Source organism: Homo sapiens, chromosome 9 (assembly GCF_000001405.40).
Source record: "Homo sapiens chromosome 9, GRCh38.p14 Primary Assembly".
Classification (NCBI taxonomy): Eukaryota; Metazoa; Chordata; class Mammalia; order Primates; family Hominidae; genus Homo; species Homo sapiens.
Genome location: NC_000009.12, coordinates 93,212,349 through 93,240,165, shown reverse-complemented (window position 1 = coordinate 93,240,165; position 27,817 = coordinate 93,212,349). Strand labels below are relative to the sequence as shown.

The 27,817-nt window shown below is 52.9% G+C and overlaps 1 protein-coding gene across 51 annotated transcripts in view, besides 1 other annotated feature; it reads right to left on the bottom strand.

The window, feature by feature from the left end:
- WNK2 (WNK lysine deficient protein kinase 2) overlaps positions 1-27,817 on the bottom strand; it is a 136,431-nt gene that overhangs the window by 80,404 nt on the left and 28,210 nt on the right. For all 51 annotated transcript variants that reach the window (NM_006648.4, XM_047423745.1, XM_047423751.1 and 48 more), the window contains 5 exons: positions 10,298-10,470; positions 9,058-9,278; positions 5,201-5,358; positions 1,845-1,933; positions 190-409 (listed from right to left, as the gene is read on the bottom strand). In NM_006648.4, coding sequence (NP_006639.3) covers positions 190-409; positions 1,845-1,933; positions 5,201-5,358; positions 9,058-9,278; positions 10,298-10,470 — 861 coding nt within the window. The remainder of the gene's footprint in view (positions 1-189; positions 410-1,844; positions 1,934-5,200; positions 5,359-9,057; positions 9,279-10,297; positions 10,471-27,817) is intronic.
- Positions 1,614-2,114: an enhancer, noted in NCBI's record as "H3K4me1 hESC enhancer chr9:96000334-96000834 (GRCh37/hg19 assembly coordinates)". NCBI's record gives its function as "activates a minimal SCP1, AML or CMV promoter by ChIP-STARR-seq in primed H9 embryonic stem cells {active_cell/tissue: H9 hESC(primed)}" and the evidence as "EXISTENCE:reporter gene assay evidence [ECO:0000049][PMID:30033119]".

The window sequence follows — 27,817 nt, the reverse complement described above, 5'->3', positions numbered from 1 at the left end:
AGACCCTAGGCAGACGTGGCCAGGCTGTGAGACCTCAGCTGCCCACACCTGCCTGGATGGCACCGCCACACCCACTGGCCTTGCAGTCCCCTCCGGAGCAAGCCCCCTCAGCCCACTTTTGTTCTCATCCTTGGAAACCACGAGCTGCCAACACCTGCACCCACCTCACCCCATCTGAGTCCTGCTTACCATCTCTTGGGCCACCTCATCCGGCGTCTCCTTCTCCAGGTCGAAGGTGAACTCTATGGCTCCATTGTCCTTGGGCTTTCCCTTCAGTTTCTTGGGGTCTTCCACCCAGAGCCTCAGGGCGATGGTGGACTTCCTGCCGTGGTCCTCCTCCGCGAGCTCCACCCTCACGCCTGTGTCCTCTGCGAAGAAGGCGTGGCTCAGCAGGTCTTTGATCTCGTACCTGGAGGGAGAGCAGCTGACAGGCAGGGGCACGGGCGCCAGGGCCTCCATGCCCAGGCTCCTGTGTCCATGCGCACCAGGACAAGGACAGGCACACCTGCAGGAGCCTGAGGCCAGGCCTCATGTCTCAGCACTCCCAGGGGTAAAGAAAAGATTTCAGTGAATCCAGTCTTACTATTAACACATAGTGTTTTAAGACTTCCTTTATTCCCCCTCATTATAAAAAAAAAAAACATGCTCATAAAAGATTCAATGATACAAAAGAGGATTTGGAAAAACATTAGGCCTCCCATTATGCAAATACAGCCCCTGTGGATGTGCTAGCCAGCTTTCAATTGTCAGAAGACACAACTGAAACATTTTAGTGTTTAGTCCTGGGTAGGTCTAAAATGGACACAGAGGCGGAGCCCCCCACGCTCTGAGCTCCCTGTGCCCAGTGCCATGAAGCAGTGACCTTTTCAAGGGGGCTTCCTTCAGGATGCTGGCCAGATGACAGAGAGCAGAGCAGAGGGTGAGCTGGAGGAGAGTGAGGACCTGCAGAACTGGGGGGGCCCCAGCCAGACCCAGCCTCGAAGGCTCTTTGCAGGGATCCGGGAGGGCGGGCCACAGGGTGTTGCCATGGTGACCACTTCGGGGCTCTGCAGGGCTTGGCCACCCAAAGAAGCCTCCCTAACCACTAACCTATAACCCCCTTTACCCTATAAATGGAACCACACAGCACGCACTCTTTGGGGCCTGGCTTCCTCTGTGTGTGCTCCAGAGTCACCTGTGTAGTTTCGAGTATCCACAATCCATCCCTGCTTACTGCTGAGGGGTGTCACGTCAGATGGTGGGTGTACTCCAGTGTGAGGGGGAGGGAAGGCTGAGGAAGCACCCCCAGCCTTCCACCTGACCAACAGGGAAGGACAGGCCCTGCTTGGAGGTGGGGAGCCGGCTTTGTGGAGCGGTTCCAGGCCTGCTATTTTTGAGAAGGGCCAAACAACCCAGTCCATGAAATACACGTCAGGGCTCCAAATGGAGGCCCACACCTAGAGCCACTGGCGTGGGGATGTTCTTCAAGGCATGGGAGTCATGCAGAGAGGAGCAGAGAGGCTGGAGAGAAGCCCCAGGTGCTCAGATGCTACAGGCTGGGTCCTGGAGGAGCAGTCAGCCAAGGACAGGACTGTCCTCAAAGCCAAGGAGGGGGCTGTCCCCAAAGCCAAGGAGAGGGTTTCCAGATGGCCAACAAGGACGTGAGGGCCTGGCCTCCTGGCCTGGTGTCACCCACACGCACTCAGGGCCGACATGCTCACCAGCCCCTGCTAACGTGCCCCAGACACCCTGGCCTGAGCCTGCCTGTCTTGAAGTCCCCTCATCAAGAACACAGCTCTCAATGCAAGCTGGAATGAGTTCAGCTGGAGATGGACCCCAGAACCCAGCCCTTCAGGGGAACTCACCTTTCCTCCTTGTTTTTGCAGATACACTCCCCAATAATCTCCTTGATTTCAGGATCGTGCACTTTCTCAAAGCTGGCCGGCTTGATACCCTGACAGGGAGAGAGCAGAGTTACCTGACCCGATCGGCTGCCGGAAGGCGAGGCCTCCACCACAGTGGGAGGAACTCCCACTCCCAGCCACGGCAGGACACGGGCACTGGACTTAACCTGCACAAACTACTAGAAAACTGGGCAAAATATGTGAAACGGATGACAGGGCAGAGCCAAATGCGGGCTCTGGGAGAAAGGGACACAATCTCCCATGGCCCCAGCTCACTGCCCAGAGCAGTTCCCAGACAAGGCACCGTAAACCAGCAGAGCCCTGTGGCCCCACTGAGTTGAGGGGTAGAGCTGAGTTCAGGAAGGCTGAGGAGGCCACAGGCAGAGTTCCAGAAAGAAGAGAACATACAGCAAAAAAAAAAAAAAGAGCCCCAAGTATCTGCACCTTGGTCCCCTCCAGCCTTTGCTGAGGACCAGACCACAAAACCACATGTGCATTGTCAATGCCACAGGGCCGGGTGAAGAACCACAGGGAGCTGCAGGCAGGGCAATTCACAGAGTTCACACAGGTCAGGATGTGTACAATGTACAGCATCCAATCAAAAATTACTAGAAATGCTGAGATGCAAGAAAATGTGACCCACGACCTTGCAGAAAAGCCAGCCAACAGAAAGAGACCTACAAGTGAGAGGGGCTGCAACTTGTAGGCAAGCAGGTTAAAACTCTTTACAGATACATACAAGCAGTAAAGGAAAATGAACATAAAAAATGAGAGATAAAAACAGAACCAAATAGAACTCGAGATGAAAAGCCCATCTGAATCGAACACTTCACCGCAGCAGACTGACAGCAGATTACACACTGCAGAAAAAAGACGAGTGAACCTGAAGATGTGATGCAGCAGAGAAAGATGGTCACTGAGGCTCTATTCTGCTCATTTCAGAATCTGAAATGCTACCAAGGTCACATATGCACATGACATTCATAAAACTGGAATCCCAAAAAAGATAAGGGGACATAAAAAAAGACTTGAAGAAATAATGGCTGAAAATTTCACAACTTTGATGGAAACTCTAAGCCCATAGATGAAGCGAGATAAAGCCGAGCTGGGAATAAATTGAAGAATTCTGTGAAACCGCTGCAATTCCCTTCCAAATCTCCCCTCCCCACTGCTTGAAGCCAGGAGCCTGGTCTCCTACCATTCAGAACCTTCTTGGGTCACCCTACTTCTGTCAAAGCCACCATCACCCCGGCCACAACACACTGCACACCTCCACCTCAGCTGCAGAATTTGATACTGGGGTTAACACCTCAAATGCAGCAGTCAGTCTCTGGAAAGGTGTTGATCAGAGCTTCACCGAGCCTCCCAAGTAGGGCCACGAGGGCCCCTGTTCCAGGAGGCTAGTAGAGGCAGCGCCATGATGCGGTGGATGGGATGCCTCCTACAGAGCCGGGCCTTTCTAACCACACCTGGGCTTCCTCCCCACACCTCCTCCTTGAGGGTGCAGGAGCACTATTTGTGGTCACTGCTGCTGGCCAAGGGCCAGGCCATGCGGCTTTGTTGCGGGGGGGTGCGGGTGGCAGCCTGAGGGACAGTGGCTCCTCACCCAGCTGATGGCTGTGCATGAAGGGAGCAGAGGGCAAGCCCTGCAACCGGACTCAGAAGCAGCAGGGCGGGGCCAGGTGCTGCTTGCAATCTGCTAGGTTGTTTTGTGTTGGAAGTGGAGTAAGACGGTGTATGAGCAACTAATTTTAAAAAATTTTAAACACAATGAGGGTACCAACTATCACGTTCTTTCTCCTTCAACACGATTTAGCCTTCAAAAGCTTCACCTGACTCTTAATATAGAGAACATAAAGCATAAATTTTCCCAAGGTCAGGGAGGAGGGTGGGGGCACGCCCACCTGCCCTGGGTGCTGGAGCCCCCAGCCTGGGGCAGACACAGGAGTGAAGAACCTAAGGGCTCTGCCCAGTAGTGTACACCCCCAGGGTCGAGGAGCACCACCAGCCCCTGGGACAGCTTCAGGACAGACCACCATCCACCCTCCACAGTGAACCCAGGGGCCCTCCCATCCCACACCAGCACCCCAAGGCCTGGCAAATGGAGCTCTTAATCTCTGGAGCGCCCCACTTCCTCCTGCTGCAGACCATCCCTGCCTCCCTGGAGGGCCGCTGCACACAGCCAGCAGGTCCTGACACTCCTTCCAGTACCCACGGAAAACTGTGCACCTGTCTGTGAAGTTTCTGACCCAGGCCCACAGGTGAGTCAAGGACTCTGTCTGCCCTCCCACTTCCTCAGGGGCACACAGGAGGGGCTCAGAACAACCAAGTGACCGATGATTTACAACAACCAAGGGACAGAAATGCAGGTAATCTGCAAGGAGGGCTCGGGATGGAGGGATGGGTCAGAGTGAGGCTGTGCAGCTGCTGAGGACCACAGCCCCTGGTGCACCTGCAGAAGCAGCCATGGCCCCGCAGAGCAGCACTGAGGGGCAGCGCGGCCCCACCCAGTCAGGTGGCATGTGGAGACAGCAGGGACTGCAGGGATCAGGGCAGCCTGGGCCCTCAGTGCAGACGCCGCATGTCAGGGACAGCTCTGCAGGCCCCTGGGCTTCACAACAAGACGGGTGGTGCAGAAAACAGGCACAGAAAGCCTTGGCCTGGCCATTCCATTTCCAGATGTTCTGTTTGCATTCCCTCCACCCAGTGGGGCCACCACAGAGGGAGGACAAGACAGATCTGTTTATGCAGCTGAAGCCGTCCGATTAAAGAAAAAAATCACAGCGACAGCAAAACAGGGATTAACGTTCCCAGCTGCCTGGCGCTGACGACTGCCTAGAGACACACTTGGTGTAGGAGTGACTGGTTTAGCTGAAAAAGAAATCAAACCATTGTTTCAAAATGAAGAAGATAGGAAAGCAGGCAGCCATGGGCGGCCCAGAGTGTGAGCACTGGGGATGGGTGGCCTAGGCACGCCTCCAGGCAGGGGGCTATGGTGAAGCTCCAGCCTCTCTGAGCCTCAGTCTCCCCACCATCCCTGCTGTGAGAGCGACAGCCTCCATGGGTAAGCACTGCCCACAGCACCCCATGCACCACCATCCCTTCAGGTAGGAGACCTTGAGTAACCACCCCGCTACTAAGCCTCAGTTTCCCCCTCTGTAAAATGGCCAATCTCCTCAGTTTCCCCCTCTGCAAAATGGCCAAGCTCCTTACACAGCTGCCAGGATGGCTTTACAGAGCCACATGGAGCCCAGCCCAGGGTACGGCCCAAGGCCTCTGTGTCCTTATTAATTAACCAAGGGGCCAGGTGGACTCACACAGGTGACCTTGCGGTAGATCTGGGCCGCATTCTGGCACTCCGAGTAGGGGTACTCCGAGGTGGCCATCTCCAGCATGCACATCCCAAAGGCATAGACGTCCACGGACTCATCGTAGTGCTCCTCGTACATCTCGGGCGCCATGAACTCGGGAGTACCTGTGCCCGGAAGCAACAGACGCAGCTGTCAGCTGGCCACGGGCCCAGGAAGAGCTGGAGCCAGTGTCCCGGGAGCTTTGGCTGCCCAGAACCCCATGTCCCCTCCACATCCCATGGCACACTCAGAACACCTGGACCCCAGGGCCAGCCCTGCCCCTCACTTGGGACACAGGTGTGCTTTACAGACAGGGTTCCAAAAGTTCCACCTGGAACCACAGGAGTCCAGGGTTAGAAATCAGGTGACAGAGCCATCCCCTGCTCATAAGCTGGGAGACTATGACTTCCCAGGGGACGGGGTCCGAGCCTGGAAGGAGGCAAAACCCTGAGTACGCCCTCGCCTGTGGACACTATGATCCTGCCACAGGCTCGGCCGCAGCCACGTTCAGAAACCCTGGAGCAGAAAGAACTTGGGTTGCTACGGAGCTACCTAAAGCCACAAAACCCCTAAATGTCCCAAAGTGGGGAAAGGCTGGGTACACTCAGCCCACCCCTACAAGTGTCACGCAGCATGTACAACAGTCAGCATCACTGAAGACAGTGTCCCTGAATGAGGGTGGGGTAGAAAATGGTACCCACCTGACAGAACCACAGAGTTGCTAAGATGGGAACTGTATGTGGCTCCTAAACACAAGAGATGCAAAAACAGTGTCTTCACTGAATTTTTAAGGACATGGCAAAGTTATGATAGGCTGAGCAAAATGAGCATGAGGCTAGACGTGCTGGCTGGCCTCACCTATGCAAAACCAAACCCCCAGGGCAAGATGATGTCTGCAGGGGGCGAGGGCTGATTTTTATTTTACTTATATTGGTCTGGGGTTTCTCTATTCTCTATAATAAGCTTTAGCTTTCATAATACAGCAACTGTAAAGGCCTTTTTAATAAAATAAGTCCGGTTGCATGTCTGTCGCGCTGAATGCAAAGAAAGGGACTAGAGACTTCAGTACAGCTGCTTTTAACGTCTGGATGTTTGTTGACTTTGGAAGGTCTTCAAAATTTCTAGTTTCTTTTTAAAAGCTCAAGCTAACTAATTAGTGCATTTTAAAAGCACGTTTTGTTTACCCGTCATTTCAATTTAAAATGTGTTACTTTTTTTTTTTTTTTTTTTTGAGACGGAATCTCACTCTGTCCCCCAGGCTGGAGTGCAATGGTGCAATCTTGGCTCACTGCAACCTCCATCTCCCACCCAGGTTCAAGCAATTCTCCTGCTTCAGCCTCCCAAGTAGCTGGGACTACAGGCGTCTGCCGCCATGCCTGGCTAATTTATTTGTATTTTTGGTAGAGACAGGATTTCACCATGTTGGTCAGGCTGTTCTCGAACTTCTGACCTCAAATGATCCGCCCGCCTCAGCCTCCCAAAGTACTGGGATTAGAGGTGTGAGTCACTGTGCCTGGCCACTCTTTTTTAAAGTTAACATTTTGGATAAAAATTGGGACAAGAATATGGTTTAGATTTCAGTCTTAGGCACACAGAACTCTGGAAGAACCCATGAGAAACAACAGGAGCTGAGTGGAGGGGCCTGACGCCGGGAACTTTTATTCTTTTGGGTTTTTTAACCACATGATTATACTGAAAATTTGCTGCACTAGCAATTTTTTTTTTTTTTTTTTTTGAGACTGGATCGTGCCCTGTCGCCCAGGCTCGAGTGCAGTGGCATGAACACAGCTCACTGCAACCTCGACCTCCCAGTCTCAAGCAATCCTCCCACCTCAGCCTCCCAAGTAGCTGGGACTACAGGTGTTCACCATGCCGGGCCAATTTCTTTTTCTTTCTCTTTCTTTTCTTTCTTTCTTTATTTCTCTCTCTTTCCTTCCTTCCCCCGCCTTTTTTTTTTTTTTTTTTTTTGTAGAGACAGGGATCTCACTACATTGCCTAGACTAGCCTCGAACCCCTGAGCTTAAGCAATTCTCCTGCTTCAGCCTCATTCTCTAGGAGACTGAGCAGCTGAGGACACTCCTGGTTGTGGCCTCTCTAACCAAAGCTTCCTGGACTCCAGCTGAGCAAAAGCTGGGTTGACGAGGGACAGCCCACAGAGCTGGGCAACCATGCGGGTCACAAGGTCTCCCCACTGTGCCTGCTGGAAACACCTGGCCTTCATCTCAACCTGATCCAGCAACTCGAAACTTCGTTTCCAAGAGGGCAAAGAGCCGCCCAGCCAGAGGAAGACGAGGGGCTCTGCCGGGGCTGCCGCTTCACAGTGGGCTGTGCTTCTTCCTCCAGGAGTGTTCACTCCTGAGTAGGAGATCACAAGCCTCCCTCCTGCCACCTGACTGCGCCCGGGGTTTGAGACCTGGGTTCCTACCACTTCTGAAGCCAAATTTGCAAAATCTGCCCAGAAAGTGCACAGAGCTCAAAGCCCTGGGCATGGGCTCTCCACGGTCCTGGGCCCCTGCTCTCAGCCCCTCCAGGAGGGAGTGGAGACCCTCACCTATATACCCATTTCACAGATGGGGAAACTGAACCCTGGGTCAGCCCCTACGCTCCACCACTCAGCTCCCCCAGAATGCCAGAGGCTTTGTGTACACAGGGCCACCCCCGGGCAGCCACCTTGCCCCAGATGTCACATTCTGAACAGACTTCCCAAACCAAAGCAGCTCTGGAGTCTCATTTTCCCCACACCTGCCAAGTTCTGTCCCCAAACATGCAGCAGAACTAAGAATTCACAAAGCCCCAAGATCGACTGCTCACTGTCCTGCCCTCACATTGGGGGCATGCTGGGTCTTCATTAACATGGGGGAGCCTCTCCCAATCTGATCCGATTGGGTGCCATCTGGGCTTCCTGAGCCCCGACCCACGCTGCTTGCCCTGCACATGTTGCAGCTTTCCCATCATCCTGGCCCCAGAAACAGCTGCTCCACAGCCACCCAGGCATTCTTTTCAAAGTCCGTGGAGGCCCCCACCCAGGACCAGTGGACACTTCACACCCACTGTGCCAGGAGCACACCTGGGGCCAGGTACATGGCACAACGCAGACCCCTGGTCTCTGCAAAGAAGCTCCGGGCCAGCTGCCCCTAGGGGCGACGGCATCTCGCCCCAAAAGAAGGCTGGGAAGGCTTCTCACAGGAGGGCGTCTGTACTGAGGCCTGAAATGCCCAAGAAGCTGAATTAATTCCTTGGCGCCCTGCTCCTATCCTGTGCACAACGCCTGCTCTGTGCCCCGCCCCGCAGGTATGTGGATTCCCCAGATACTCCAAGTTCTCACTTCCTTGGGCCTCACAGCCCGGGTGACACTGGGAGCTCCAGCGTCACTGGCCACAAACCTCCCAAGTTCCTCTGTGGTCAGGGCAGCTTCCCTCTCCCGAGTGCCCACAGTGCCCACACACACCACGAGCATCGGCACCCAGCCCACCTCCCCTGCTAGACAATCAGAGCTGGCACCCAAGCCACAGCCACGGAGGGAAACACAAAGACCATCTGGGGCCAGAGTCGGACAAGGCAGGGGCAGCAGGGGAGGGAGGCAGCCAAGTCAGCTATCCCAGCCCAAGTGGTCTGGGAATCCAACGAGTGGGCAGGCCCTCCAGCTGAGCTACAAAAGGCTTGGTGGGGTAGCCCAGACACCCTGGCCCGAGGCTCCCGTGCCCAGACGCTCCTCCCACTGGGTCTCCTGCACCAGGTCTGAACAAAACTGGATGCTCGCCAGCACTCACTGCTGCCCAGCTTCTCATGGGCTCCAAGGGCCTGGGGAGGAGAAGCAGGTTTACCTATCACACTTTTGGCAAATGACGCTCTTTTCAGAGTGGCCAGGCCCAAGTCGCCAATCTTCACAGACCCAGTTGGTCCGGTGATGAAAATATTGTCACATTTCAGGTCTCGGTGGATGATGGGTGGCGTCCTTGTGTGCAGGAACAGCAGGCCCTTCAGGATCTGCCGGCACCAGCTGCGGAGAACCTTGGGCTTCATCACCTTGAACCGCTTCAGGTATCTGCAGGGGTTCACGGGCACAGCTCACCAAGCAGCTCGCCGGCAGCGGCCCCCTAGCAAAGCCCCCACCTAACACTGCTTAGGCCTGGTACAAAGTCCATTCCCGTGCACACGGCACATACCCGTGACAGGTAGTGAAGGTGAGACGGGAGGGCCGGACAGTTCCGCCCTGGAGCCAGGCCCCTGAGCAGCCAGCTGGGTGGGCTCACAACCCTCTTGCTCCCCTCATGCCAAGGACCTGGCTACTAAAGCTCATACTAAGCTCCATCTTGACCTCACTGGGAGATGGTGCCAGGCTGACTTGTAAGTTGCCCAAGGCAGGACGGAGTACCAGCCAGCAGATGCTCAGGTGAGGGGGTGAGGGTTACGAAAGGCCAGGGCCTGTGAGAACCACAGGGGCCAGCTGGGGCTCTCTCTGCCACTGGCCACCTGTGTGGCCTGCCCTGAGCTGTGCCCTGGGAGGAGGTGGGTGGGTGAAGCTAAGAAAAGGGCTCTCCTCTTGCAGCGCATCCACCTATGACGGAAACTGCCCGGCTGAGGGGCACTGAGGCCCTGCCCAAGGCTGCAGGGTCCAGTGGTTCAGATGGACCCAGGATACAGCACCAGGCAGCACCTCATCCCCACAGTACAGACTGGGACCTTAGTGAGCAGCAACAGGCTGCCGTGGCCACCCCACTCCCCACTCCCCAGCCCTCACTAACCACCTCCACATCCTCAGAATCCCACAGTCCCCACTGTGCACCCCGCCCAGCCTGCGTCCTGAGCCTGAGTATGTGCCGGGCTGGCTCCCAGGCAGAAACAGAACCCCAGCCAGAAACAAGTCCCAGACACCATAGACAGATCAACCATCTCCCTGGGAAGTAAACCACCTCCTGGCATCCCATGCAGGAGAGGAAAGAGGAGACAGCCTCCCACAGGCACCAGCCAGGACCACCCCAGCAGCCCAAGACCTCACCCTCAGCTATGGTAGCCCTGCACCCATGCCAGGACCCGCCCCAGCCCTCAGGAAGCGGAGCTTACGTCTTCAGCGTCCCTGAGGTCATCAGCTCCGTCACCAGCACAATGCACCGCTTGCCCTTGGCGCTGGACTCCCAGAAGTCGTAGAAGCGCACGATGTTGGGGTGCTGCAGGCCTTTCAGCATCTCAGCCTCTTCCTTGAACCGCTGCCGCTCCAGCTTGGTGAGCTTCCGGTCCTACAGGGCAAGAGACATGCTAAGTGGGCAAGAGATGGGACACAGAAGGGGACACGGTGGCGTCACATCCCAGCAGCGCCACACAGTAGGACCAGCCCTTCCCATACCCACAGGCAGCTAAGCGGCTATGATAGAAGGGCATGCAGACACTGGCACCACAACTGCTGACTCCTTAGTCCCCACAACCCTGGACACAGCCCCCAAAAAGGGACCTCAGCAAAAAGACATCCTAGGAAGCCGAAGAGGTCTCGCAAATCCACACGGCCACACTTGAGCACTTTTTCCAAAAATACACCTCTGAGGCCTTTGCCTCCTCCACAATCACTCACTTTCTGTGTGTTTGTGAAAAGAATGGATCATCAGTTTACTTCTAACGTATACACAACTCAGAAGAAGTACTCAGGGCCCAGTGGATTAGAACAGAGGAGACGTGGACAGGTGACTGAGATAAGAGCTGAGAATGGAGGGAAGAGAAAAGCCCTAGCAGAGCCAAACTGACCAGTCAGCAGCCCAGAGGGCAGCCCAGGCCCTCCTGTGCAGGAGGACACAGCAGACACCTCCCCAGACCCTTGGGCCACTGTGTCTGCACAAGCCAGCAGAACCAATCACTGACCTAAGTTTAAATAGAAAACAGCAAACAAACGCCACCATCATCACCCGGGAACCCTGGTCAGGTGCATGCACCACATGCCCGCTCTGCCCACCATCCCACAAGGGAACCACCAACCCCAGGCACCACATTCAAACACCACTCAGCACTGGCCACCCTCCCGCCGCCTGCCCAATCTCCACCTCTCCCCTCTGACTCCCACCACCCTGTCTGAGCTCACCCATCCCTCGCCACGCTCTCTCCCACCTCATCCCTCACTATAGTCCCCCTGGATCCTGGCCCTTCCCTTCCCCCAAATACTTCAATAGATTCTCTCCACAGAGGGCTCAGAATAAATCCAGGGAGCCTGCATGGCCCCGAAGGCTCCATGTGCTTCCAACTTCCCCTCACGAGGTGACAGCCATGTCCAAAGGCCCAGCCAAGGCCTCTCCTGCTGCACACGTGCCACGCCCTTCTCACCTCCACCTGAGGTCCTGCCCCCAGGATCACCTCCTCATCTTGGTCCAATGAGCCCACAGAGCAATGCCTGCCTCTGTTGCACCAATTCCCATGGGAATGTCAGAAAAGAAACGTGTATTTTCCGAAGGAAACCAGAAACATAACTAAACACAGAAGAGCAAAATTCCGGGGACTTCTAAACAGACAGAAAGCAGGTAAATCTGGACAGATAAGGGGAGAGATCAGAGTGAAAGTAAATGCAAGCCAAGACCCCTGGATCCTTCCGGAAAGGCCCAAAGAACATCAAGCCAGACTCCAAAGCAGAGAGGAGAAGCAGGCGGCAGGATCGTGACAAGGGTCATCTTGGTAAAAAAAATTACATCCCAAATGCAGCCGCGCCCATGAGACCCTTCTTCCTCCATCAACCCGCCAGACCCCTCCCCACAGCACACACCCTCATGGGCCCCTTCATTGCAGTGTGGGACTGTGCAGTGACTATCACCACAGGGCCAGGCAATACCCAGAGAAGCCATTGTCATGATGGGGCCAACCCAGAAAACAAATAATTCAGAGACCAACGGCAACTCCCAAAAAAATCTAATTAATGTTCCCATAAAGATTCAATAAGTTGACACAAGTAAGTAAAATCAAGCTTCTATTTAGAAAGGAACATTCGAGAAAGAGCTCTTGCAAATTATCACAGGGATGGGGACTGCCCTTCCTAACCAGCTCAGTGTTTTAGAAATAAGATATTCCATAATCCAATGAAACATTAAGTACAAAAAAGTTAATGTTTAATCCAGACAATAAAATGGAAACATGTTCTACTCATCAAAAACGATTCTTTAAGCCAGGTGCGGTGGCTCACACCTGTAGTCCCAGCTACTCGGGAGGCTGAGGCAGAGGATGGCTGGAGCCCAGAAGCTCAAGACCAGCATGGGTAACACAGCAGGACCCCATCTCCAAAAAAATGGTTATTTATTTAAGTCAAGTCACAAACTGGGAAAAACTATTCTTAATACATATATCTGACAAAGGACTCAGATCCAAAATGTATAGAGAACTCCTGTAATTTAATAATAAACACATGAACAGATACTTCACCAAAGACACAGAAATGGCCAACAGCACACGGAAAGAGGCTGAGCATCATCAGTCGCTGGGAAAATGCCAACAAAGACCACACTGAGATACATCCCATACCTACCAGAAGGGCTAAATTAAAAGATGGATACGGCCGGGTGCGGTGGCTCACACCTGTAATCCCAGCACTTTGGGAGGCCGAGGCGGGCGGATCACGAACTCAGGAGATCGAGACCATCCTGGCTAACATGGTGAAACCCCGTCTCTACTAAAAATACAAAAAATTAGCTGGGCGTGGTGGCGGGCGCCTGTAGTCCCAGCTACTCGGGAGGCTGAGGTAGGAGAATGGCATGAACCCAGGAGGTGCAGCTTGCAGTGAGCCGAGATTGTGCCACTGCACTCCAGCCTGGGCAAGAGTGAGACTCTGTCTCAAAAAAAAAAAAAAAAGGTGGATACTTCCAGCTGCTGGGAGGCTGGGGAACAGTGGGCCCCACCTGGCACACTGCTACCAGGAGTTCAGGTGGCGCAGCCCTCAGAGGAGGGCTTGGCAGGGTTCACACCTGCTCTGTGTCCAGCCACTCCCCTCCCGGGATCCATCTGGGAGGAAGGAAAACATAAGTCCATAAAAGATGGACTTGGATATTGGAAGCAGCATAATTCATCATAGACCCACCTGGAAACCACCGAAACATTTGGGGCCAGGTGAATGAACCATGCCGCACCCATCCAAATGGGACCATGGCTCAGCAGCAAAAAGGAGCATGCTCCTGCCTCTCAGTAGCACAGGTGAAGGCCAAAAGCATAGGACTGAACAAAAGAAGCCAAACAAAAGAATATGTCTGGTAGGACCCCCATCTTCATGTGAAACCCTGGAAAAGGCAGACTAATATCTGGGGGATGCCATCAGAATAATGGTTACCTCTGGGGTGGGTAGAAGTGGGAGCCAAGAGATCTTGGGGTGGAGGGTGATGGAGAAATGTTCCACATCATAACAGAGCACGTGGGCTCCACCTCTATGTGCATTTGTCAGAGCTCAACTTGCACACTTAAGTTGTGTGTTTCATTATATGTAAATCACCCTTCAATTTTTCATATGTAAAAACAAAAAAAAAGGAAAAAAATCCAAAGACCAAATGAGAGAAGTAGAAGAAAGAAAATAGAAGAGAAACATTAAGAGACATGGAAGAACTGCCTGGAAGTCAAACTATGTCAAAAGGGTTCTAAGAACAGACACCATGAAGTATAAACAAATAGTAGAATAGCATTTCCCTGAGCTGGAAGGAGAACGATTTAGAAGAAAATGGCCCACCAAGGCCAGGTCAGAGTAAATGAACACCCCACCTCCAGGGCTGTTCTAGTGTAATGTCAGAACCCCGAGCAAGTCTTATCTGCAAAGGAACGGCCCAGGTGGGCGGTGAGTCTCACCAGAGACACTGGGCGCAGGTGGCAGGGACAGTGTCCTCAAAGTGCTAACTCAGAATTCTACACGCTGTCAAACGGACACCAAGCCAGGCGGTCCAGACTCGTTTTCAGACATGCAGGAGCTGAAAGTTAACTTCCCATGCAGTCTAGGTGGAACAAGTTACTGGAAGAAATGTTTCCACAACACACAATACAACACAACACAACACAACACAACACAACACAACATAACACAACAGAAAGACATGCACCCAGGGTGACCCTCGAGGTCCCTGGGGGTGAAGGAAGCTGGAGAGGAGATGGCAGTGCTCAGCTAGGCCAGTTCGCCCAGGAAGCCTTCTCTGGGAAACAGCATGTCAGTTTACAATTCCCTTTCTGTGCGCCTAGTCCTTAATTCTAGAGGAAACTCACAGGATCATTTATAGCACAAGTTATTTTTGCCAGTATTTTAGCACCAACAGTAACGTGTAAAAGATTTCATTGTAGTTTCAGAGCAAAATGTTCACGTTCTAAATGACTAAGAAAAAACGGGAAGTAGGGGGGCGTACCCTGCATGCACTACAGTCTTCATTTTTAACAGCAGTTACCTACTGAAGTTGATACATGTAAGACACGAAAGTCAGAAATGGTTAACAATGGTGCCTCTTAGAGGTGGGCTTGGAAGGGAAGAGGATCTCATTTTATATTCTACACCACACGACTATTTTAATCAATGTAACACATTGCTTGGTAATTTTTACAGTAGGGGAGACAGGGTCTCACTCTGTCACCCAGGCTGGAGTGCCGTGGTGTGATCATAGCTCACTGCAGCCTCAATTTCCTGGGCTCAGGTGACCCTCCCACCTCAGCCTCTTGAGTAGCAGGGACTACAGGCACATGCTACCACGCTGGCTAATTTTATTTTTTTAGAGATGGTAGTCTCACCATGTTGCCCAGGCTGATCTTGAACTCCTGGGCTCAACAGATCCTCCTGCCTTGGCCTCCCAAAAGTGCTGGCATTACAGGTGTGAGCCACCATGCCCAGCCTGCTTGGTACTTTAACAGTCGGTTAGTGTGTCCCCCTCTGAGCCCTGCCCAGAGCCCACCTACAGGGTATGCTGCCCCCACAGAGCCTGTCCACATCCTCATCACCTGTTTGCTGACATCGGGTTGGCCTGCATTACAGGAGCAACTCCATGAACACCTGTGGACTGAATTCATTCATTAACCTATTAGGAAGGCTCACAGTCAACAAGCCAGGGCAGGAAGAATGCACCTGATCCCTAAGTGATTTCCAAATCCTGCCAGACTCACACGGTGCTTAAAGGTTTGGTGTTGAGTCAGAGGCGGGGGCCTCCTGGCTGCTCACTCAATGTGATGCCCCTCCCTCCCAGACACTGGAGGGTAAGGTCAATCAGCACCAATCTTCCTCCTACCAAGTCCCCAGTGCTATGCAAATTCATGGCTCTTGTTCCCTCATAGTGGTGAAAGTCAATCAGATGACAAAAGACTTAAGGCATTCTGGGACAATGCCAGCTCTTATTTGCTCTAGGAAAAAGGTCCTGTGGGTCACACACAGGCAAGGCAGGACAGCACCCTCCAAGCCGGGCAGCAAAGCCCCTCAAGGGCTGCACGAGTCACACAGCCAGGGTGGTCAGAAGATTCTTGGTCCCAACGGCCCTTCCCAGCACCCCCAGGACACCTGGGAAACACATCAGGGGTTGCCTTCGATGTTGACTGAGAGCATCAGAGGTTCCTGCCCTGAACATGGCAGGGTGTCTGCAGGCAGCCCCCTCCTATGACACTTCAGGGCCACCTGCTCTGCCAGAACAGTCCCCAGTGGGCAACGGTTGGAGATGTCAGACCTACTAGGGGCACACTTGGGATTCCGTGGCATCTTCCTTTCAGCTAGGCAGGACCCCAAAATCCAACCCCTTGAAGGGGCAGAACTGGGTCCCACCAGGAGGTGAGCCCCACGCACACTCGGGCAGAGGAGAGTGCCCAGAACCAGTGAGGCTGAGCCCCGAGAGATAAGCCTGCTGCAGGGCCTCGCTCCAGTTCCGTGGGGCCGTAAATCAAAACCAAAGGAAGCCTGGAGCTTCTCTGTCCACAATAGTCCCATGCACAGAGAACTGGCCCAGGACAGAGGCCCCAGGTGCAGGATGGGAGGGCATCAGGTCTCTGGTAGAGCTCAGGCCTAACCAAGGACTTATCTCCCTGTCACTTAAGTGCTCACACCCAAAAGCCATGATATCCACAGGGACACACTGGGAAGACAGCATGAGACTTCCACCATATATGTGTCCCCTTCTGTTCCCTCCACCCCCGGGAGGGTGTCCCCACTGCTCTAGGAGGCTTGGCATCCCCACACACTCCACGCCCTCCTGGTGGGAAGAGCCTCCCTGCTACTCCCAGGTCTGGAAGATTTGAACCAGTCGACCCAAGCTGGGGGCCAGCAGGCTCCTGCCTGCCCTTTCACCACAAAGTGGAGAGAGGGTCTGGGTCTGGTTCCAGGAGGACAGGGTTTGGCAAGTGCACAGGAATGGCTGGTGCAGAGCAAGCCACACCATCCCCCATGCTCTGTCTGGAGTCGCTCAGTCACGGAGGCTCTGGGTGTGCGGAAAGGGCTGTTCACAACCCCATGGGAACGCAGCCAACAGATGAGAAAACCAATAAATATGCAACTACACACTGTGCCAAAAATTACCAGTCAGGGCACCCCTGCCCCCGAAGAAAAGCTCCAGTTTCAGGCAGCCTGGGGAAGAAGGCATTCCCCACCCCACCTAAGGCACGGGCAGGTCTGAGGTCCCTGGAGGAAGTGGCCTCTGTGCAGGCATGATGTTTGAGCAGTGGGTGGTTTATGTCACTACAGGGCCAGGCAACGGGGCGCCACTTGGACAAGAGGCAGGCACTGGGCCTGCTCTGCAGTGAGTGGTCAGTGGGCTCAGTGGAGCCATTTTGATGTCCACACCAGGCATCTGCCACTGACCAGCAAAGGGGAGGCCTGACAGAGCTCTTCCACCTGCTGCCTCCAACATTCTCTGCTGGTCTTAAAACAAACTCACTTCCTTTAAATCCAAGTTCCCTCTTTAACCTCATCTTGAGCAACAAAATACACAACCGCATTGACAGGTGAGCCAGTGTGTGTTTTTTCTAATTCATGATTTTAAAAAGAACATCACGGCTGGGCACGGTGGCTCACACCGGTAATCCCAGCACTTTGGAAGGCCGACGCGGGCAGATCACCTGAGGTCAGGAGTTTGAGACCAGCCTGGCCAATGTGGTGAAACCTCATCTCTATTAAAAATACAAAATTAGCCAGGTGTGGTGGCAGGCGCCTGTAATCCCAGCTACTCGGGAGGCTGAGGCAGGAGAATCGCTTGAACCCGGGAGGTGGAGGTTGTAGTGAGCCGAGATCACACCATTGCACTCCAGCCTAGGCAACAAGACTGAAACTCTGTCTCAAAAAAAAAGGACATCATTATAAAGATGAACATTTTTCCCGACACCACCAAATAAAAGTGGCCAAGGAGTGTGAGGAGTCACAGACGGAGGCTGATGTGCCCCTAGACTTCTTTGCAGAAAAGGGACCCTGACGCCGGTGACCTGTCCCAGATGCTGCCCTCCATCTGGATGAGTGCAGCCAGGGAAGGAGGTGCTCAGTTGGGGGTGAGTCGGCGGCACTGGACTCTTCCCACATTCAGTCTTCTTTGTCAAGGGCTCCAAGAAGTTTACAATTCTCTGAGGCAAAAACCTGAACTTGAATATCTGGCCCCTGGTTGCTTTTGTAAATCATACTATTTTATTTAAAAAGGGAGGGAGGAATTATTAGCTGGGTGTGGTGGCACACGCCTGGTGTCTCAGTTACTTGGGAGGCTGAGATGGGAGAATCACCTGAGCCTGGAAGCAGAGGTTGCAGCTGAGCCAAGATCCTGCCACTGCACTCCAGCCTGGGCCACAGAGCAAGACCCTGCCTCAAAAAAAGGGGGTGGGAAGGGGCAGAGGGAGCAGGGGAAGGTGCCAAGTGAGCTTTACTCTCTTAAAGGCCACCTGGGACCCTGCCGCCCGCACATACACACCGGTACTCACCCTGTCACCCACACACAGAAGGAAGTAGGTGCCTGCCTGCCCCAGGGGTAAGTTGGGATGTAAAATGTGTCATCATAGGGTCAAACAGTTGTAAAAGATGCCATTTCCAGCATTTTATAAATACTGACTTTTTAAAAATGTTCTTTGAAATGTTTCCCGTGGAACCCAAATGTCGGCAATCTGATGCCCTCCACCAGCTGTTTCTAAACACGGGAATAAACACGTCTCCAGCTCCAACCAGGACGCAACCTCCATTCCCACGGAGGTGATGGACACGACGCGGCTCTTCCCGAAAGCCTCTCACTGACTGCCCTGCCACACTTCCCTGCCATCACATCATTCCTATCGGAATCTAGCTTTCCTTAGTTTCCTGCGAACGTAAGACTCTAAGGACCAAAGGATTTTCTTCAGAACTGAATCACTATCATAAATTAGCAGTGCATAGTTGACCAAAGCAAAGGGATAACTAATTTTGTTGAAAGTGCCTCCGTTACTGAGCCAGATGGAGCTCTTGTGCCAATTACTTGGGGTGTCCATGGGTGACTGTAAATCATATGTAGAAGGAGGCAGGCCCAGCATCGTTCTGTCCACCTTCTGGTGTGCGGATGTTGAACTTTGAGAAAGCCTGATCCTGTCAGCCAGTAGACGGGTGGAGAGAGTCTGTCATGGCCTTGTCACAAACTCTCCATGCTCCCTTGAGCACGTACAAAACTTCAGCTGTCCTTCCCCGGGACAAGCTGGCAGCCATGCCAGGGACTCCTCTAGGTTCTACTGAACACATGCAATGGGGGTGGTGCCCGGTCCATACTGGCTTCCCATGCCAGCACCCAGCATAAGAGCCAGCAGCAAGGGGAGGTCCAGGGAAGGTCGGGGGTCCCCACCCACCTGCCTGTTAGGAAGCCCCCATGCCCAGCATGAGCACGGCAGGTCAGTTTTGGGACTGGCCCTCTGTGCTGGGCCCCGCCCTCCCCACCGCAGGGCTCCGGTCACAGGGCAGGCTGCAGGAGCCCTCCCCACCCCAGGCCCACCCAATACCCTCCATCGTGGGCAAAGACAGGGCCACCATGGGATGCTAGTGGAGCTGTCACCACGTGGCAGGGATGGGTGGGCAGCCCAGGAGGAGGGCAGGACCACAGAATGGAGCCATGAAGGCCAAGATAAAGAAGAGGACCAAAGGGGGACCCAGGCTGGGTCAGGCACCCCTGAGGCAATGAACCATGACAGGGTGCAGCTGACAGGACTGTGGACCACCTGGGGTCTGATGCTGGGGCAGCACGGGCAGGCAGGAGCCTTCCCAAGGTGCCCACTCCCCGGGCCCACCACACCCACAAAGCCTCTCCCGGGACCTGAAGCCTCACAGTCCACAGACCAGATGTGGTCCTTCCTTCCAACAGGAACCTCACCAGGGCTGGACAGCCCCCAGCCCCCTCCTCAGGCCACCCCATGGAGGTCTCCCCAGCTAGGGCCTCAGGGAGACCCAACCCTCTGCCCAACAACAGCAGTGACACGCCATCCAGTTAGTCTCTCTGCCCATCAGCTCCTGGCTGGGCTGCAGGGTCATCAACTCTACCTCACTGGGCCCCATCCCCCTTCACAAAACAGGAAAGGTCGGAGGTCTCCTCAGGGTTAGTGCACGGCTGTGCTGACAGGTAGAGTTGCCCAGAACCGCAGCTGGCACAGCCAACCTCACCCTCGGCCCCTTCCTACCATGTCCCGTCCTGCACTGGTGTTGGGCAGCATGGACAGAACAGGAAAAGCTATTCCAATCAGAGAGACGGGGTGGAACCTAGGCTCAGACACTAACCCTGCCTCTGAGCTCAGCTCCCCATCTGTGTAGTGGGCAGATAGCAGCACCCATCCCCCACAGTGTCCAGCCCTCAGCAAGTAATATGCACCCTGTGTACACCCTCGTGGGCTCTGGGTGGTACACCTGCCTCCAGAGGAGGCCTGGCCCACTGCAGATCAAGCAGACAGGACCTATGCTCATTCACACCCTGGGGGAACCACTTTAAACAACCAAGACTCCCTCCCCAACAACCCTGCAGCCAGGGAACCCTGTCCTGGAGGAAGAGAGGATCCCCTTTGGTCCCCAGGCCTCCAACACCAGGTGATGTCCCAGCCAGGAGGAGCCCGGCGCTAAGCAGGGTGGGGCCTGGATGCGCCTGCACTCTCCAGGCTTCCAGGGCAGGGCACCAAGGCCAGTGCCACCATCTGCACCTGCACTCACCTGGATCAGAAATGACAGAGCCCAAGCGAGGAAGCAGGTGGGCAAGCTGGTGGCAACAGGTGGAGCTGGGCACATGGCATACGGGTGTTTTATTTCCAAATAAATGTTTTAAAGCTTGCAGGGCTGACCTAGAGCTCCATAAAAGCAAAGGAGCCCCCACATAGCCTCTTCCACCTGAGCGACCCCACTCTCAGCACTGCGTGTCCCAGATGGGCTAAGCCTCGGCCCACACTACCCTGAGTAGGCGCCTGCCCAGCCCTCTGTGGACAGGGGTCTCCCCAAGGACCAGCATCCTTAAATGAAGACCACCAGCTAAAAGCCAATGACAAACTTGGAAACAATCCACACTTAATCCTTAACACTAGGGGTCTCTGAGGGGAAAGGGAAAGGGCTTCCTCCCTAGGATCCATATCCACACTTTTGGATGCAGGTATCCCTACTGTGGTCAGAAGAACTGATGAGCATTTGTCCTTGTGTGCACTTTTTGAAAGAGAGGAGCAGGAGGGACTCAAGCCGGGCATCACCCAGGGCTGCCACAGGCCCTCCAGGACAGTGGCCAGCCCCGCCCACGGCATGTTGACCAATGGGACTGGGGGTGTTGGTAGATACAGACCATTCACATTTAGGGGAAACGGCTCAGAAAGCTACCTTGTCAGAGGGCCACCTCGTGCCAAGGCACCTGCCATCAGGCTGGAGGGAGGAAGAGAGCTTGAACCCATGCCCCTCCCCTCCAGGGACATCCAGGTGCCCTCCTCTCCTGTCTACAGGTGGGCTTAACACGGGCAGCTGAGGGGCAGAGGGACACAGGCCTGGCCCCGGTCTCAGCCACAAGTCCTGGTGCCATGTCACTGGGTGGCCACCCTCCTCTCCAAGGCCAGAGGTCAGCAGGCTGCCCTGGCCCTGCATGAGTCCTGAGAGCCAACCTGTCACATCCAGGCTCCCCACGCCCGTCTGTTCTCCTTCGGAGGCAGGGGGAAGAGGGAGAGCCAGGCAAGGGGTCCCTGGGGCAGAGGGGTGCAGCCAACTCAGGACAACCAAACCCCAGGAAGCCGGGGCAGCCCTGGCCCTGACAGCCAGACAACCCAGACACACACCCCCAACATGGACAGGCAGCTGTGCAGGCAGCAGACACTGCAGGGCCAGCCCCAAAGGAGGAGGCCTTTCCTGTTCTCAAGGGAACACTGATGTTACTTCCTGACGGGGAAATGTCTGCTCGAACCCTCGGCCCTGGACCAGAGCAGTGGTTCGACCACCCCAGGATGAAATGAAAATGGGGCCCTCCCAGTGGGCACACAAGTGAGGAAGAGAAATCCCCATGGGGCCATCCCACCACAAAAACTTTCCTGATTGCAGGCCTGGCTCCTCCCCAGGAGAACACATCGGCACTCACCCAAGGTAACTGGGAGCCCGGCGGGCACAGGCCAGGCGGCCACCCCTGCATCTGACCACATCATGTATCTGGTTTCTAGAAAGGGCCAGCCCCACCCCATGGCCACTTCCCGCAGGGACACCTAAAGATAGATTTGGATAGCACCAGGGACACAGGTCAGCAGGGTTAGCAGCTCCACCATCAAGAACAGCTCCTGTGGGGTGGGGCAGGCGGGGCACCCCAGGGCAAGGCCTGTGGAATCCTGTGGAGTTCCACAGAATTCTGAGGAGACAGCTGTAGAGGCCAAGCTACTGGGGTCTTCCTGCGGCTGCCCTGCCCCCACACAGGGTTCAAAGGCTCAGGGCACCCCAAGGTGGCAGTGGGTGAGGGTCTAACAGTCTGTGGAATATTGTGGCCCCTCGAAGGCAGGCCCTTCCCCCCACCCCACCCCCCCAACGTAGGGAAATACCCAGACCTGTAGCTCTGGGCAATGAGGAAGGGCTGGGCATTCTGGTGCCTGCTACTGTACAAGGCCCTGGTTCTGGCTTGGTCTTCTACGCCTACGCCCAGAATGAAGTCACCTAGGCCTCACTTCCTTTCCTCCCCAGAGGCCCTAGGTGGCCCAAGCTATCACCAAGAGCTAAGATGACCTTGAAGGCCAGGCTACTAGGATTCAAGGCCGGTGTTGGCCTCAGGTCAAGATGTCCACTGAATAAACATGTGCCCAGGCACAAACATCTGTGGTGTCCCTCTAAGCCAGGAATGGCACCAGGCTGCTTGGCAGGGGAGTGGGGGCACCAACAGATGGCCCCAGCAGCATGAGATCAGGGCCACAGGAGGACCATGGAAGGGTAAAGCAGCATGGGGGTGAGGTTAGGCCCCCCTGCCCACATCTGCACCCCAATCCCATTAACTGACTCCTCAGTACCTCCCAGAACTGGCGGCAAGAGCCTTGGGGACCACAACCGAGACGGCAGGTACACAGCACACATATACCTGAAATAAACCTCAGCACCATTCATCCTCATGCCACCATTCTGACTCTTCTGGAGAAAAGGAAACCCCACACTCAGCACTGCTTCTCCCACTAAAGTTGTGCGGCCCAAAACAGTAGCTACACATGTGGCTAATGAGCACTTGAAATCAGGCCAGTACAGGTTGAGATGTTCTGTAAGTGCACAGTACGTGGCAGCGGCGTAGTATCTTCTTAAAAGATTTTTTGGGCTGGGCACGGTGGCTTTCGCCTGTAATCCCAGCACTTTGGGAGGCCGAGGCAGGCGGATCACGAGGTCAAGAAATCAAGACCATCCTGGCCAACATGGTGAAACCCCATCTCTACTAAAAATACAAAAATTAGCTAGGCGTGGTGGTGCACGTCTGTAGTCTCAGCTACTTGGGAGGCTGAGGCAGGACAATCGCTTGAACCTGGGAGGCAGAGGTTGCAGTGAGCCGAGATCTCGCCACTGCACTCCAGCCTGGCAACAGAGCAAGACTTCGTCTCAAAAAAAAAAAGATTTTTTTGAATCTTATTGATAATTTTATATTGATTCACATCAAAAACATAATATTTTAGATATACTAAATTCCATCTGTTAAAATTAATTCCACCTGGTTTTTTTTTAGTTCTTTTTGTTTTGTTTGTTTGTTTGTTTGTTGTTGTTGTTGTTTTGAGACCGAGTCTCACTCTGTCACCCAGGCTGGAGCGCAGTGGTGCAGTGGTGCAGTGGTGCGATCTTGGTTTACTGCAACCTTTGTCTCCCAGGTTCAAGCGATTTTCCTGCCTCAGCCTCCCGAGCAGCTGATACCACAGGTGCTCGCTACCACGCCTGGCTAATTTTTGTTTCTTGTTTTTTGATACAGGATCTCACTCTGTCACCTAGGCTGGAGTGCAGTGGTGTGATCATGGCTCACTGCAGCCTCGACCTCCCAGGCTCAAGCAATCCTCCCACCTTGGCCTCCCCAGTAGCATCACACCCAGCTAATTTTAGTATTTTTTGTAGAGATGGGGTTTTGCCATGTTGCCCAGGCTGGTCTCAAACTCCTGGGCTCAAGCGATCCACCCACCTCAGCCTCCGAAAATGCTGGGACTACAGATGTGACCTACCATGCCTGGCTTCCACTTGTTCCTTTTATACTTTTAAAGTGACTGCTAAGCTGAAAATTGCACATATGGCTCACATTTGTGGCTCACATTACATTTCTATAGGACAGGAATGCCTTGGAGCATTACCACTAAGCAGTAGACTAAAAGCAGAGAAGCAAGGCAGAACTTCAGCAGTCTAACAGGGCTGGGAAGATGGCAATCAGAGCCCAGAGTCTGGCAAGGAAGAGAGGCCTTGGTAGACGTGCAGGCTTTCAGATTAGCCCTTCCAGAAGGGCTGTATACTAGAAGTCTGGATAAAACAGAACAGACCAACCAGCCCTCACAGGGGCTGAAACACAGCTTTGAATCAGTTCAATTCCAGACGGGGTTAATATGATTTGCTCTTATTCTGCTGCCTACTAGAGGCGGTAAAAAGTAAATCTCTAGTGAAAGACAAAATCACCCAGAGCCTCAAATATGTCCATAATTTCTAAACACAGCAATAAAAAATGACCAAGAAGATCAGGAGACAAGACCAAAATGATGAAAAATAAAAATAAAAGAAGAAAAACGAGACGATAACAACAAATTCCCAGGGGATCCAAATATTGCAGTTATCAGACACAGACTTTAAAATTTGTGTGAAATTAAAATTAGTGTAAAATTAGTATGGTCCAAAAAATAGCAGGACAAATAATTTCACCAGAACTAAAATCTATGAAGTCAGAAACAAATAGAAATCTAGAACTAAAAAGTAAAATTAAACCCATCTATTGAGTTCAACAGCAGATTAGACATAGGTGAGAAGAGGATTAGCAAACTGGAAGGCAGCAGAAAATAAACGAACTGAAACATGGACAAATGCATATGAAAAAGAAAATTTAAAACTTATAGAAGACAAAGGGGAAGGTCCAACCTATGTGTAAATGGGGTTCTGGAAAAGAGGGTATAAATAATGAAATCAAAACATTATTTTAAAAATAAGGCCAGGTGCAGTGGCTCATGCGCCTGTAATCCCAGCACTATGGGAGGCCGAGGTGGGTGGATCACCTGAGGTCAGGAGTTCGAGACCAGCCTGGCCAACATGACGAAACTGTCTCTACTAAATATGCAAAAATCAGCTGGGCATGGTGGCTAGCACCTGTAATCTTAGCTACAGTCAGGGAGAATTGCTTGAACCCAGGAGGCAGAGTTTGCAGTGAGCCGAGATCGCGCCACTGCACTCCAGCCTGGGCAACAGAGCAAGACTCCATCTCAAAAAATAATAATAATAAATAAAAATAATACCCCAGTTTGTGACCAGCTTGGGCAACATAGTGAGACCCCATCTCTACAAAAAAATTAAAACAGCCAGGCATAGTGGCACATGCCTGCAGTTCCAGCTACTCAGGAGGCTGAGATCAGAAGATCACAGGACCCCAGGGGTCCTAGGCTGTAGTGAGCTATGATTATACCACTGCACTCCAGCCTGGGTGACAGAGCAAGGCCTCATCTCTAAAATAATAATAATAATAATAATGCCACCACATTTTCTAAAATTGAAGCAAGACACCCATAGATTCAAGAAGTGCTAAAAGCCCCAAGCAGATTAGATACAAAGAAAGCCACACCTGGGCATATTACAGTATAAAACTCCTAAAAATCAAACACAAAGAGAATATCTTAAACTCAGCAAAGAGAGGGCGGGGGGGGGGGGGGCACTACCTTCAAAGGGGCAGCAAGTAGACTGACAGCTGACCTCAACAGAAACCATGTAAAATGACTATGCAATAACATCTCAAAGTGATGAAGAGGCCAGGCGTGGTGGCTCATGCCTGTAACCCCAGCACTTTGGGAGGCTGAGGCAGGCAGATCACTTAAGGTCAGGAGTTTGAGACCACCCTGGCCAACATGGTGAAACCCCGTCTCTACTAAAAATATAAAAATTAGCCAGGCATGGTGGCATGCACCTGTAATCCCAGCTACTTGGGAAGCTGAGGCAGAAGAATCACTTGAACCCAGGAGGCAGAGGTTGCTGTGAGCCGAGATCATGCCACTGCATTCCAGCCTGGGCCACAGAGCAAGACTCCGTCTCAAAATAAATAAATAAATAAATATATAAAAATAAAAAATAATAAAGTGATGATGAAGAAAAAAACTATTAATCTCAAATTCTGTATCCAGCAAAATTATTCTTTAAATAAGAATAGGGACTCTTTAGACAGAGACAGCAGTGGCAGCAAATGGGTACTAAATGGAATACAAAGGGGAAAACTTCAGGTAAAGGGAAAGTGCTGTGAGACGTTTGGAAACGCAAGAAAGAACAGAAAGCAATGGAAAGGATAAATGCATCAGTCATTGTCACTCTCTGCTAGTATTAACTGTACAAAAGAACAATTTAATAATGTCATATGGGATATAAAAGACAGGGAGGGCTAAATTATATAACAGTACACAAAAAGCAGGGGTGGGTAAGAAGAGTGGGTAAATGGAGTTCAAATGTCTTAAGATGCTTATACTGCCCACGATGTGGTAAAGTGCTAGTTTATATTAAACTTCAAACTTTGGATACATGTTGTAATCTCCAGCATAACCACTAACTTTTTGTTTTGTTTTGTTTTGTTTTTGAGATGGAGTTTTGCTCTTGTTGCCCAGGCTGGAGTGCAATGGTGTGATCTCGGCTTACTGCAACCTCTGCCTCCTGGGTTCAAGCGATTCTCCTGCCTCAGCCTCCCGAGTAGCTGGGATTACAGGCATGCGCCACCATGCCCGGCTAATTTTGTATTTTTAGTCGAGACAGGGTTTCTCCATGTTGGTTGGGCTGGTCTTTAACTCCCAATCTCAGGTGATCCACCAGTCTCGGCTTCCCAAAGTGCTGGGATTACAGGTGTGAGCCACCATGCCCGGCCAAGACTAAAAATTTATAAATGAATCTATAACGAATTTGTAAGTGCAAACTCAAAATTGCCCAAAGATTCATGAATAGCTCATCTAGTTACAGGGCAGCCACATCTGAGAATACACATTGGTTGTTAAAATTACCATTACATGGATACATTAGTATGTGATAAAATAATGACCAAAAAATATGAATGAAGTAAAGTGAAATAAAATGACAGGTGGAATGAGCACAACTCAGAGCCCACCACCCCTGCCCTCTTGTCACCTGCTACCCTGCCCTCCTCAACTGTCCAGCTTCAGAGCCCGGGGTTCCCAGGATGTGCCCATTGCAGAAGCACAACCATCCTTGTTGCTCCAATCTACTCTGGGAAGACGGCTCTTATATCCCTTCCCAAGATCAGAAGAGGATCCCAAGTACAACACAGAGCTCAGGGCTCAATCGGTGCCCCCTCCCTGGAAGTAGGCTGATACACAAATGAGGGAAAAGCCATCTCTCCTCCTTGACTGAGACTAGAAAAGCTCAGGTCTGGTGCCCACGGGGACTTCTCCACCTCCACCTATGACGTTTCACATTCAAAAGGTGGGAACAGCCCCAAGGCGGAGTCCAAAATTCTGAGTCCAAGCATCCCAACACACACCCTGGAGAGCCCAAGTTTGAAGAGTCTTTTTCTCACTCACACCCAGAGATGAAGAAACACCCCTTCCTCCACACCTTCCTCTCTCTTTTAAACAAACATCTGCCATTGGTTATGACCTACTGGGCAGCCACACACTGGGCCCATGAAGGTGACCTTGAGACAGGACTTCTACCCTGAGGGCTCAGTCCTATGAGCCCTGCATGTCGATGCTGCTCCCATTTTACAGAGAGGGAAGTGGAGACACAGACAGGCTCAGCAGCTTAGCAAGGGGCCGGCCGGACCTTGAACCTCGGCAGCCTGACTGTGGCTGCCTCCCCATCATGTGCCCCGACCACAGGCCACTCTGGGGGCCATAGGGAGGGAGAGGAGGGCCTGGCAGAAACAACATAGCCAGGGTTTATCCTGGAAGGCTCAAGATAAGAGCCTCTGAGCAGGCAGGGTGAGTAGTCATCTGTCAGCCAGACAGATGGGGCTGGGGCCAGCCTCTCTGGGATGCTGTCCTGCTGGGGGGCCACACACTGTGACTCCA